This window comes from Homo sapiens, chromosome 14 (genome assembly GCF_000001405.40).
Source record: "Homo sapiens chromosome 14, GRCh38.p14 Primary Assembly".
Classification (NCBI taxonomy): Eukaryota; Metazoa; Chordata; class Mammalia; order Primates; family Hominidae; genus Homo; species Homo sapiens.
Window position 1 is genome coordinate 57057426 of NC_000014.9, and position 12518 is coordinate 57069943.

At 39.5% G+C, this 12518-nt stretch overlaps 1 annotated feature.

Moving 5' to 3' along the window:
• Positions 2573-3772: an enhancer, noted in NCBI's record as "CDK7 strongly-dependent group 2 enhancer chr14:57526716-57527915 (GRCh37/hg19 assembly coordinates)". NCBI's record gives its function as "activates an origin of replication core promoter dependent on BRD2, BRD4, P300/CBP, MED14 and CDK7 cofactors, with strong dependence on CDK7, by STARR-seq in HCT116 cells {active_cell/tissue: HCT116}" and the evidence as "EXISTENCE:reporter gene assay evidence [ECO:0000049][PMID:35650434]".

Consider the following 12518-nt stretch of genomic DNA (forward strand, 5'->3'; position numbering starts at 1 on the left):
CTCAGCCCAAGGCTCTCTGAGCCGAACACCTCTTCAAGGAAATGGCTGTGCCCATGGCTCAGACTGTGGCAGGGCTGCAAAGCCCCTGGTTAGTTGACAACATTGCCAATTAGCTAGGGCCTCCCCTGACCAGTTCCAACCCACGAGCTGGGTTAGGACTGCAACTTTGACCTGTGTCCAAGGGCCCAGGGATACCTTGAAAGCTCAGACCTGCTGTGCCTGCTACTGAGGCCCTTGGCATTTTTGCCATACTGTGCACATCGCCACATAACCAGGGCAGAGTTCATTTGGGAAACTCCATTTCTGAAAATGACTGCATTAATAGAATTGAAAGGAATGTTGCATTTTCTAAAGAGGGCAGACAGGAAGGATCTGTGACTCTGATGGAGTGAATGAATGAATGAACATTGTTGAGTGGCTGTTTGTGCCAGTGGCTCTCCAACATGCTTCCGGAGTTCTGAGTATAATCTCATCTGTTCCCTGTGACCCAAACCTCCTGCCAAGTCTAATCTTATTCCCATTTAACACGTGAGGACACTGGGGATCAGAGGGTTAAAGTGACTCGCCCAGTATTACATCAGATGTTTATTTTGCCCAACCCCCAACTGCATCTGAGTGCCCTGTTACCCAACAGCTGCCACCCCAGGTGGCGTTTTGGCTGATGGATAAGGTCACTCATACAGACTCTTTCTTGCCAAATATTGTATGTGCACTGCAATGACTTACTGAAAAAAAAAGTTTCCAATAATACTGTTCCACTAAATATCTAGTAGGAATGGTGGAAGGGCTTCTTCCCTGTTGTTGGGGAAACTCCTCCCTTTTGATCCACATTTTTCCTTAAATTGCCTGGGGTATTCAGTGGGGTGGCGCCTGCTCCTGCAGCTGTCTGGTTGCCTGACTGCGATCATGGTACTTGGACACTGATCTGGAGTAACTCTCTCTGCTTCACCTATAGAAAGAGAGTGAATTGGGTTCTCTCTCTCCTCCCACCTTTGTATGTATAAAATATATTTGTGGTCTCCATTAGTGCTGTTCAACTATTTCCAGCTCTCTGCCTCCGGTACATCCGCCTTCTTGCCCCGTGTGAGTAGGTGGGGTCATAAGACTGGTTCTGGCCAATGAAGTTTGATGATAGGTGATATGTGTCACTTGTAGGCTGAGCTTTTCATAATTGCTGGAAGAAAAACTGCAGACTGCACTTCTCCTCTGCATGTAAACAACAAAATCTGAGGGGTGGCTGCTCCATCGCCTGGATCCCGGAATGACTTCGATGGGCAGACAACCACTGGCACCCCACAAATCTGCAGTGGACATCAGCATCAACAAGAGCTTCTCAGTTGTTTTAAGCCCTTGAGAATGTGGGGCTGTGTGTCAATGCTGTATAAGCAGCCTTGCCTGGCAGATACACATTTACAGACCCAAACGCTTTTTGTGCAAATCCCATTTCTTTCTCCAAATAAACCTAGGAGGTAGGTACTATTGCCATGCCCATTTTACAGATGAAAAAGCCCCAGCTGAGAGAAGTTAATTAAGTTGTCTAGGATCACTGCAGATGGCTGAGACAGTTTTCCATTCCATATCTCTGTAGCTCCAACTCCTGCTCTTAATCAACACACTCCCTCTGTTCTCTCTGCCTAGGTGCTTTCTAAGCCAGGAAGCAAATAACATTTGTTACACATTTTCCCAAAACATGTTTTTGCTTCATCATGTCACTTACCCTCACTCAACTTTCTTACTGTATTCAAAAGCCACATTAAAGAAAGAAAATTTGGTTTTTAACAAACTATTATAGCATCAAAAATTATAGTTCGATGGTTGACATTCTATCACTTTCTAGAAAATGTGATTTGGCAAATATAAATCCTCCTCACAGCAAGTAGCCCTCAGCTAAGAAAATTACTTTTATTAACCAAAAAATTATTCTTAGAATTGATGGCTGTGTAGATGACCTTTGGCTTACTGTAATATAGCAATGTGTCTACCACAGTAAAAATGCCAGAGCAAGACAGGTCCCACAAAAGGCAATAAAGGAACAACATTCCAAAGACAAATACACTTGAGACACATATGACAGCCATGGGAAGGGGAGAGTAATCAGTTATAAGAAATGACAGTGTTTTGGCAGCCTCAGTTACTTTAATTGACAGGACAAATAAAATTAATGTAAAAATTTTTTTTTATAAAAGAGCAAGTCATAAGAGTTACAGATATAAATCAAAGTAAGTTTTGGCCTTTGATTTAAATCTGTTGGGCATCCCTCTTTTTTCAGGGCACTGAGGGTGGTGTTTCCCTGTTACAGACATTAAAATGTTTCTAGTTCTTCTACTAATTTTTCCTTGGTTATCTGATTTAATCTGGATTTTATTCTGCTGTTAATCCTCTCAGACTTACTTTGCCCTTCAGATACTCTCTTTAAGGCATGTCCTCATCTGAGCATGTTTATGGCTAAATGCAAATCCTCTGTGAATTTAGGCGAGAATATAAAGGACGATCCATTAAAATAGTCATTGTTTTTTCAAATGCAACTGGCTCTAAAGAGATTGTGAGATATTGTATTGTGACTTTTGGACTTTCTCAATTTGGACCCCAAAATATTAACATGACTTACTTTAAAATTCCTTAGATACTCTCAGAGAGGCAGAAATGAAAGTCTTTCTTAAGTAATGTTCACATTTATTCTGTGAATAAAAATAAGAACTCCAAATAAAAAGTCTTGAAAACTGTAGGGAAATATTTCCTTTGATTTGTTTCTTGGGAAGCTTATCTATTAAAATGCATCAAGCGCTATAAATACCCTCCTCTTGATTATTATTCTTCACCTAGCATATCACTACTAGAATTGGGACAAACAAGCCCCACTTTATTTGTTGGTCAAAGACAAGGGTATTGGGATTCTTGCTAAAGAACAGGACATAAATCCAGGGCTTTTGAAGTCTTTAGTGGCTTAATGTTAAAACTTTGCTTCCTCAAGATGAAAGTTCAAACACAATTTAGGTCAAAGGTTAAAGAAGTCTGCCACTTCAGTGGGCAGATAAGGGTTTTGAAGGTTTCAGCTGAGGCCTAGTGACTGGGCCAGGCAGGGAAGAGGGAGGATAAAGGAGACCCGGCTCCACCCTCAGTTATCTGCCTCCTGTTTCCTTAAGAACTAATGTTCATTAAACTCCTCTGTTTTGATAAAGAAACAAAAATTCACAACCAAAAAAGTAAATCCTACCTTTGTTCTGGCAAACTAGGTCAGCATTCTCTGTTCCTGCTGTCAGTTTTCTGCAGCTTGGGTTTCACAATGAGTCACAGGTATGTATGAAACTGCTTGATTTAACTTTTCGTTTTTCCCTATCTGAGGACTCCAGGTTCTCTTAGTCAGACAATGATTGAGTTGGCGGGTGTTTCTCTTGGAAGACGCCTAAGTGCAGACAGCAGATCTGAGGTCTACCTTTGCACAAGCTTGACTTGGAACTGAAGCATCCCACACATACAAGCTGCGTGCAGAGATGCCACGGCCACATAAAAGCAGCTTAGCAGCATGGAAACTTTATTTTTTTACAACCCGTTTCAATGGGATTGGATCCAGTGGTACAAATTTCACTAAGCCTGCCTTTTAAAAAAAGAGATTCATTCACATTTTCCCTAGATTTCTGGTTCTTTTCTCAAACTCATCAATATTGCCATTTAGCACTTCTGTGTTAATTGTAAAGCCAAGATAAGGATTTTCTTACATAAGCTGTAAGACAATGGCAGCCTTTGGATATAGTTCTGAGGCATCAAAGACTATAGACACAGACTGTAGATGTCAGTGCAAATACAGAAAGTAAATCTTTCCCCTACACAGCAGATGAGGTGGCATTCATGATTTCCTCCATGTGCATAGCCTCAGGGATGGAGACAAGGGGTCCCAGGGCAAGATTTTTGTAAGGGGGGACTCAATAATCTGTAAAAAAGATGATTTCACGTGTGTGGTCCCATAGCTAGAGCCAGGGAATAAGAGCTAGGAATTCTTGGGTCTTATGATTACATCTATTGCCAACTCACTGTGCACTCGAGTCTTGGTTATTCTCCTCTGTTTCATGACTATAAATGAGTATGACTCAGTCATCAGGCCAGTGTAAGAAATCTATGGGTGGCGCTATATTTCCCCTCCATATTAGCCACCCTCTTAGAAATGCCTTTATGTACTCCTTCCCCTGTTAGCACTGGTAGAAAACAGTGCAGGGTATGGCGGGACCTGGAGCTGGCATCCCGGAGTGAGCAAATATACTTCAGGTCACACAGCTGTGACCCCAGTTCCCCACTTCTCTTCTTATGTGTCCCCAAAGCTTTCTTTAAGCTGTGTTAGAAAGATGCATTGCCATTGGTTAGAAGTGCTTCTGTCTTAAAACAAAAATTTTTACCTCAAACCACAGATAAGTCTATTTGAGAGGAAATTTAAGAATGGGGGCCTGAAGGCTAGTGTTGGGTTTAATTACATGCACTTACACAGTACTCTTCACACCTGCACTAGAGCAGCGCTTCACAAGCACATGAAACACCTGGACATGTTGGTAAATGCAGATTCTGATTCAGGAGGCCTAGGCGGCTCTGAGATTCAGCATTTTTAGCAAAGTCCCTGATAATGTGATGTTGCAGGTCTCTGGCCCACACTTGAGTAGCAAAGAAATAGAATATACCATCTAATTGCCCCCTTCCTTTTCCCAAAACAGAGACGTGGTATAATTTGTGCTTAAGAGTGAGGATCCTAGAGCTGGACTTCCTATGTTCAAATCTTGGTACCAGCAAGTGTCATCATAAGCAATAATTACTTAATGTCATTAAGCTTCAGTTTTTTTCTTCTGGAAAATGGGCTGATACAAGTATTAACCAAGATGATACCTTGGAAATCCAGATGAAAATTGATGAGGGCCTAAAATAAGGCTCTGGTAACAGGGGTTGAGAGAAGAGTATATGCTCCAGAGACACAAAGGAGTTCTGATTGACAGGACTGACCGAGTGTGGGAAGCGAGTACGGGAAGGAGTCAAGGGTGATTCCCAGATTTCTGGAGTGGATGCCTAGGCATTCATTCTAGCCACTGAATACACAAAAAGGTGCATGTGGTGAGTGGGGAGAGGGTGGCATTGGGGAGAAATGATGAATACAGTGTTGGACACAGTGATTTCGGGATCTGGGCTGGAGACACAGGTTTGAGAGAGCTCACCATGGAAAACCAAATGGGATGACAAGAAAGAAGAAGCTGGGACAGAACTCCAGCTAACACTGATGTTCAGGGAGTGAGCTGCAGAAGAAGATTGACAAAAGAGACTGAGAAAGAAGTATTGGAAAAGTAGGCAGAAAACCTGGAAAATGTGGTACCATTTCAGCGGGGAGGTTGGAAAATGGTAACACTGGCAGAGAAAGGGTGAGCAGAAAAGGAAGCACGTTTAGAAGAGAGCAAATTCCATATTTGATACAGCTTTTTTGTTGCTGTTTTTGGGGGGGGGTTTTTTGAGACAGGGTCTCGCTCTGTCACCCAGGCTGGAGTGCAGTGGCATGATCTCAGCTCACAGCAACCTCTGCCTCCTGGGTTCAAGCGATTCTTGTGCCTCAGCCTCCAGAGTAGCTGGGACTACAGACGTGCACCACGATGCCCGGCTAATTTCGGATACACTAGTTTTGAGATGTGAGAAAACTAAATCAACTAAGTAGGGATTTTGAAACACACTGTAGATGCCTCAGTAGAAGTAGGCAAAGACCTCTGACAGATAGCAACATTTAGATGCAATCATACAAGACCAGAGAAGTGAGGGGGGAGCAACCAGAAAACGTCTCGGGAAGAGAGGCCAGAAAATACACAGAAAAGGTATTCACAGAGGGTGGTCAGTGGTGGGTACAGCAGCTAGAAGAAAAAGGAGGACTTGTGTGTCATAGGCAATTTTTGTTTTTAAAATGTGACAATTCGAAAAGCTAAAAAACAAGCCCTTCCTCCATGAAAAAAATTAAAAATCTTAAAAATTGTTTAATATAATGTTGTAAGTACTAGAGATTGAAAACATCAGTGAAAATTTGGAGGAAACCTTTAAAATCTGCATCTGTATAACAACCACTCCACTAATTAAAAAGTTCAATAAAGCAAGGCTTGTAAGCAAAATAGCAAATAATTGGCCTGGATACTTTTTGACAGAATAGGCCAAACTGCTAGATAAGTTTTAACAGTGCACGTGTGCCTGAGACCTCAGTTAGGCTCCTTTTAGCACAGAATTTTTGGGTTTTCTTTTCCACATCAGCTGTGGTGATCCACTTTGGATAACAGCCTCCACTGTTCTTCTAATTTTTCTTGCTTTTGTAGTGACCAGAGAAAATCAACATCAGTCCCTAGATCTGGAAATACTGAACTAAAAATTCTGTGATATAATTAAGAACATAGCCTGGGCTGATGGCAAAATGAACAGCAAGACTTGGGAATCTGACCTTGTCCTGTTCATCTTGACATCCCAGCCTTTTGCGAACCCGGAACCCAACCCACAGGGGCACTTCACAAATGTTTGTTGAACGAAAGGCAACATAAAATATTGCATTTAACAAGCTCTGCTCAAATCCCACTACTTCAGAGGGCTTTTCCTGACGAATCCCACTCTCGGAAGGCACTTTGTACTCATGGATTTCTATATAAGCTTTTAATCTTGCCATCTTGCAATTATTATTATTCATGTGTTGTTTTTAATTATTCTCTTATTAATTTGTGTGTGTGTGTGTGTGTGTGCTTGCACATGTACGCGGGCTTTATTTCCTCAATTCACTACAAGTCCTCTAAGTCAGATCCCTTATTTTCCTCTGCTTTGAATTCCCAAAGTGCCTTATGCAAGTCTGGGGACAGTAGTTACTTGTAGTTGAAATATCTCTCCTCCACTTCGACTGCACTGTTAAATATTTCAATCGTTGCCAATAGTTCTTTTGTCCCTGGTATGCATGCCATTTTACTTCACAGAAAAATAAAAGGCTTGACATATTTGAGTGCTAAGATTTCATAATAGAATGAATTTCTAAAAGAGTAAATACTTAATTCTTCTTTGTAAGTCTGGTAGAGACTTTATTTTTTATTATTATTATTATTATTATTATTTATTTTATTTTATTTTTTTTCCCAGAAAACCTCCATGTATACCTAAAGGCTAATGCCCAGCAGGTGCTATGAGACATTCAAGTGGGGGCTCTTACACATCAGACACACCCTGCGCTTTAATTCTGTAGATCACAGGTGAAAGCACACTCCCTGGCTTCACAAAAAACAAAGATATTATGGGAAAGAGCCAAAGCAACAATCATATAAACTAATGAATTCTTTATGGTTTGCTTAAAAATAGACGTTTCCCTGGTGAGGATTCATTTAAGAAAAATCTTCTTCGGAAGCAGAAAGTTTTCCAAGTCAGAGAAGAATAAATCAGTTCTGCTAGATGCAAGAACATTTTAAAAGGGTAGGTGCTGCTGGTTCACACTTAGGGAAGTGCAAACATCAAAAGGCAGTATCTGTTTTCACTTTGATAACCATAATTACCATCTTCATGTAATAAATACCACTAAAATTTATGCCCTTTATCAGCTTAACATAATATTCATTTATTCATTCATTCAACGAATATTTATTGGGTTCCTACTACATGTCAGGCACTGATCTAAGTGCTGAGGATACAAGAGAAGAGGAAACAAAATCCCTGTCTCTAGCTACCACATTCTGGTTTAATAAAATAATATTAGCACAGCCGGATTATATATGTAAACTATAAGAAATTACTAAGGGGTTAAATTTTTTTGAAAATTGCTGAATATTTAAAATTTAAAATAACACTGCAGGAAATTGAGGACATAATTTTCATTTTATATAAACATTTTAAATCATTTTTGATGCAGTATTTTAAGCCCACAAAATAATAACCATCTAAAAGAACTGCTACCTAATTCTTACACAAAAGGCATGTTGAGCCTCTTGGGAAGTGCACATTTTCCTAATTTTTAGGCTTTTAGAACCGATTACTTGGGGTCTTCTAGAATATACAGCATGATCACATATCGGGTTAATTAAAATAGAACCCTTTCTGAGATTAATAATAAATAATTTACTTACAAAACTTTAATGACATATCAAAAATAAATTTCAATCCAGGCAAACTAGTTTTATTTATATCTATGAAGCTGCTAGGATGAACAAAGGCTTCTGGTACAAAGCACTTAACTCTAGCTCAACACAGATAGCTGGGTTTTCAAAAGAAGACCATTTGACTGATGGATTCTTTTGGCCTACGTGTTGACCCTGTTGTTGTTTCCCAAAGCTGTTCATGTTGTGGTTATTGTAATAAAGCTCAGCTATTGAAAATCTGAAGCCACGCATCATAGCATATGCTTATTGTATGACATGTTTATTATTTTTCTTTCTGTTGGTTTTATGGTACATTCCCATGGTGGCACATGAATAACTATTATATATTTGTTTTCGAGGTGTGTGGGTTGGCTCAAAAGACAACTTTTGCCAGCTTCACCTGTGGTTGTAAGCTCATTAGAATTCCAATATCCATGAAGGACTAGAGGAATCCTAGTACCTTTGAGCAATATGGCTTGATTTTCCTAGCCAAAGACTTTAATTCAAAGCTCTTTTATAAATAGTACTGTCAACTGGTTTATTTCCTTCCTCTGTTACAAACAATAACATATTAGTTATGTTATGGAAATATCAATGTTCTAAACTTTCTTTATTCACCCTTTTTGGAATACTAGATCCTTTAGAGGAATCATTTATTTTGGTGTTTCTTCTTAAGAAAAAAAAAGTCCACACTTACTGATTGCTGTGAGGATAGAAAAGCCAACTCTATCGTTTGTTCATACTATCTGTTTAATATAGAAGCAGTAATCCCGGAAAAAAATACTTTTAACATTTGCTTACAAACATTGTTTAGAAAACAGTTTGCGTTTAAAGTATCAAATATTAGAGAATCTACTTGGTTAATATTTTTGAGATCTGCTACTTTGTCACATTTTTTTTTTTTTCAACCAGAGACTTTGGCTTTCTCATCAGTTCTTCATTAAAAGTCCCTGGATTGCCTTAAAGTGCAATCCCTTAGACAAATTTGGTTGCCTTTAAAAAAAACACCAGCAACAGAAAACCCAGTAGGAAAACAAGCATTATTCTAGAAAGCAGCAACCCTGGAAAGACAGTTTTGTTAGTGGAAACACATTAGTCTTTCACAAACTAAGCAATGATGATATTTACAGAGCAGTTTGTAAAAGGTCAAACGCTCATCTTCTGCCAACAAATGCAAGGAAAAGCAGGTACTCCGGCAGGTTTTTCAAGCAGGGATCTGTGGACACGTTTTCAGGAGTCTGAGACTTTCAGGATATTTAAGATAATTTTAATAGTTTTGTTTCAATAGCAGAGTAAAGATGTAAAAACTCAACCTTTTAGCAGTTCTAAAGACGGAACTTTTCTTTGCAGTGATAATTCTCAAATGTAAGCCATTTTAATAGAATAAGATTCTAATTTTTAGGTCAGCATTTCTCAAAGTGGACTCCACTGACGTGTTGTGGGGTTTCTGAAGATGATTCTATCCTTCCCAAGGGTGTCCAGGCATTATTCAAGTTTGAGAACCGGTGCTCTGCGGCGTGAACCGTTCCGTGCTGCAGAAAGGGCCGGCAAAGGCAGAGGGCGCCACCGTGAGGCCCCCATTTCAACGCTTGTCATTTCAATTGTGGTGGGTTAGAGATCACAGGGAAGCAATGCTATCTGCTGAAGAGACATCAGACAGTGTAGTAAAAAGGGTAATCCATTTATTTTCAGAGAAGTTTTCCACTCAGAGATCATACACGCTGCAGATCACAGAAACACATGCAAGCATGAAATTTAATTTTTAGTAACTCTTTCCTGGGGCTTCTATAGAAAGCAACAGTGAAAGGAAAATGATAATCATGACAAGGCAATTACAGAGAGGTTTGGGGAAAACGAAAAACTTTGAAAACATGTAGTTTAAAATTGCTTTAATTAAAACATAATGCAAGCTGCATTATTTTAGCTCAAAAAACCAAAGTCAACATCACAGAGACAACACTTTTAAACTTTGAAATAGTTGAGAATGATAGATGCACGTTTTTTCCCAGAAGTGATTTTTTTCCCCTAGTGATTCAGAATCTATAAATGTGATAAATATTGACTTACTGGGCTCCCAACAGATGGAATGAAACATGTAGTAAAACAAAAGCAATACACTTGTGTTTTGGCATGAAATGAGTGAGAGATTAAGCTGAGGCTTCCCTGTATTATTAAGAGGAAACAAAGTGGATAATATTAATGTTTATGCACAACTGCATGCCATTTGCAGCAAATAAATATGGCAAACTCGAAAAAGAAGAAAAGAAATAAAAAGACCCAACCATTCTTTTTTTCCCAGGGCAATTATTCCCTTTCCTTTAATTTTCAAAAAAAATTAAAGGAAAATATTTTTTAATTACTGAAAAACAATAATTAAAAAGTTTCTATTCTTCTTAAGTTTTCTGACCACTCCTTTTGATTGCATGTTTTCAAGTATACACTGAGTGCACATTTATTTCAAAAGAAAATTATGATTTGGCTTGTCTAACAGTGCTAAGAAGGAATACTAATACAGTAAAATACTGACTTGAATTCCTCAATACTTACTTAAACACCTCCAAGACAGGATGGCATTTTTCCTGAAGGTAAAAGGTACAAAGCAATGAAAATTCAAATTGTAGAAGAACTATTTCATAACTATGACATGATATTGTCATACTAACACATAGGTGATTTTCCTCTATAAAAAAAAATCTTTGGAAAGAATTTTTAGCTGAAATATGGGCCAAAATGGCAAGTTTTCCTTGAAAGCACCAGATGAAATAATATTTTATAAATACATATATATATATGTATATATAAAATGTAAAAATCCAATTATCAATGTTTTGGTTTTGGTTGTTACCTTTTGTTGCAATGATATAATGCTCTCTAGGGCCAGTGTAAAGAAGCGAAGATCAAAGAACTAAATTCTTACATGTCAGGTTTTCCAAACCATCATCACTGCAACAAAATAATTTGTCAAATTGTCAAAATTTACAGGCATCCCAGACACAGGAAATTTTGACCGAGTTTGTGCCTTCACACAGTGCTAATCTCACTCCCGGAGCTGTAAACATGATGGCCGAAGTGACAGCCTGGCTACAAATCCGTCTGGCAGCTTCATTAGACATCTCTCGCCTGACTGATTAAACTGCATTTAAGACCCACTTTTATTTTTTCAAGCCTTTTGTTTAAATTAAAAGGTCGTGTTTTCAAGCAAATGATCCGCTGTTCCCTTCCATCCAGGACCATAATACAGTTACATTATTACTAGTGTTACCCAAAGGAGAGTGAGTCAGATGCCCTGCACACCAGCCAGGGGCTCCTCCCCTGGGGAAGCCGGGACACTGGGGAGGGGGACTGTTTATTTATTTGCAGAAGAACCTAGTGAGGAGGCCTGGCTGGGGAACATTGAAGGCGTCATCAAAGTCCTAATGGCCTCCTAATGGGAAAATTTGGGGTTCAATATTAAGGACATACCAGCAATTTCAACAGTCATCCTTTAAAATTGTAGCAGTAACTTTATCTTGAAGTGGATGCCTTTTCACAAATCTTGATATTTTATCACTGTCCATGCTTAAAAAAACAACTAAAAAGTCAGCTTTCTAAGAACCCAGATCGCTGCATCAAGAAAATATAATGGAAACACATGCTACACTGTAAATAATATTTGCTAACTTTTGCTGTAATGTATCAGGAGGTTCATATTATAAATAAAACAGAGGGCAGCTCCACGCTCCTGAGCCCCTATTGCAGGCATTCAAGCCAAACAAGGAAAAATGCAGGAAACTTCACTGATTCTTTCCTGTGGTTTTTCTGTTGGTGTGTGTGGCAAATACAGAAGAGGCGTCTGAGAAATAAACCATTCCTGAGCTGTCTTAACTTCATGGGCAACCACTAAAGACTGTTTCCCATACATTTCACAGCAGGCACAAGAGCAAGAATATGGGCCAGGCGCAGCGGCTCACACCTGTAATCCCAGCACTTTGGGAGGCCGAGGTGGGTGGATCACGAGGTCAAGAGTTCGAGACCAGCCTGGCCAACATGGTGAAACCCCCGTCTCTACTAAGAAGACAAAAATTAGCCGGTGTGGTGGCGCATGCTTGTAATCCCAGCTACTCGGGAGGCTGAGGCAGGAGAATTGCTTGAACCCTGGAGGTGGAGGTTGCAGTGAGCCGAGATCACGCCGCTGCACTCCAGCCTGGGTGACAGAGCAAGACTCCGTCTCGGAAAAAAAGAAAAAAAAAAAAAAAAACAAGAATCTAAAAACTAAAGACTGTGGTTCCAGGGAAATCTGCCTAAATACAAGAGAGGGAGAAACTATTTGCTTGCAGCCTTGTTTGTGCCTTTGCCTCGCAGGGTTTGTCCTGTTTATAGTGTTTGTCTTTACTTCGTAATGTATTTACCATGCCTCAGTGTGAGACCAATGCCTTT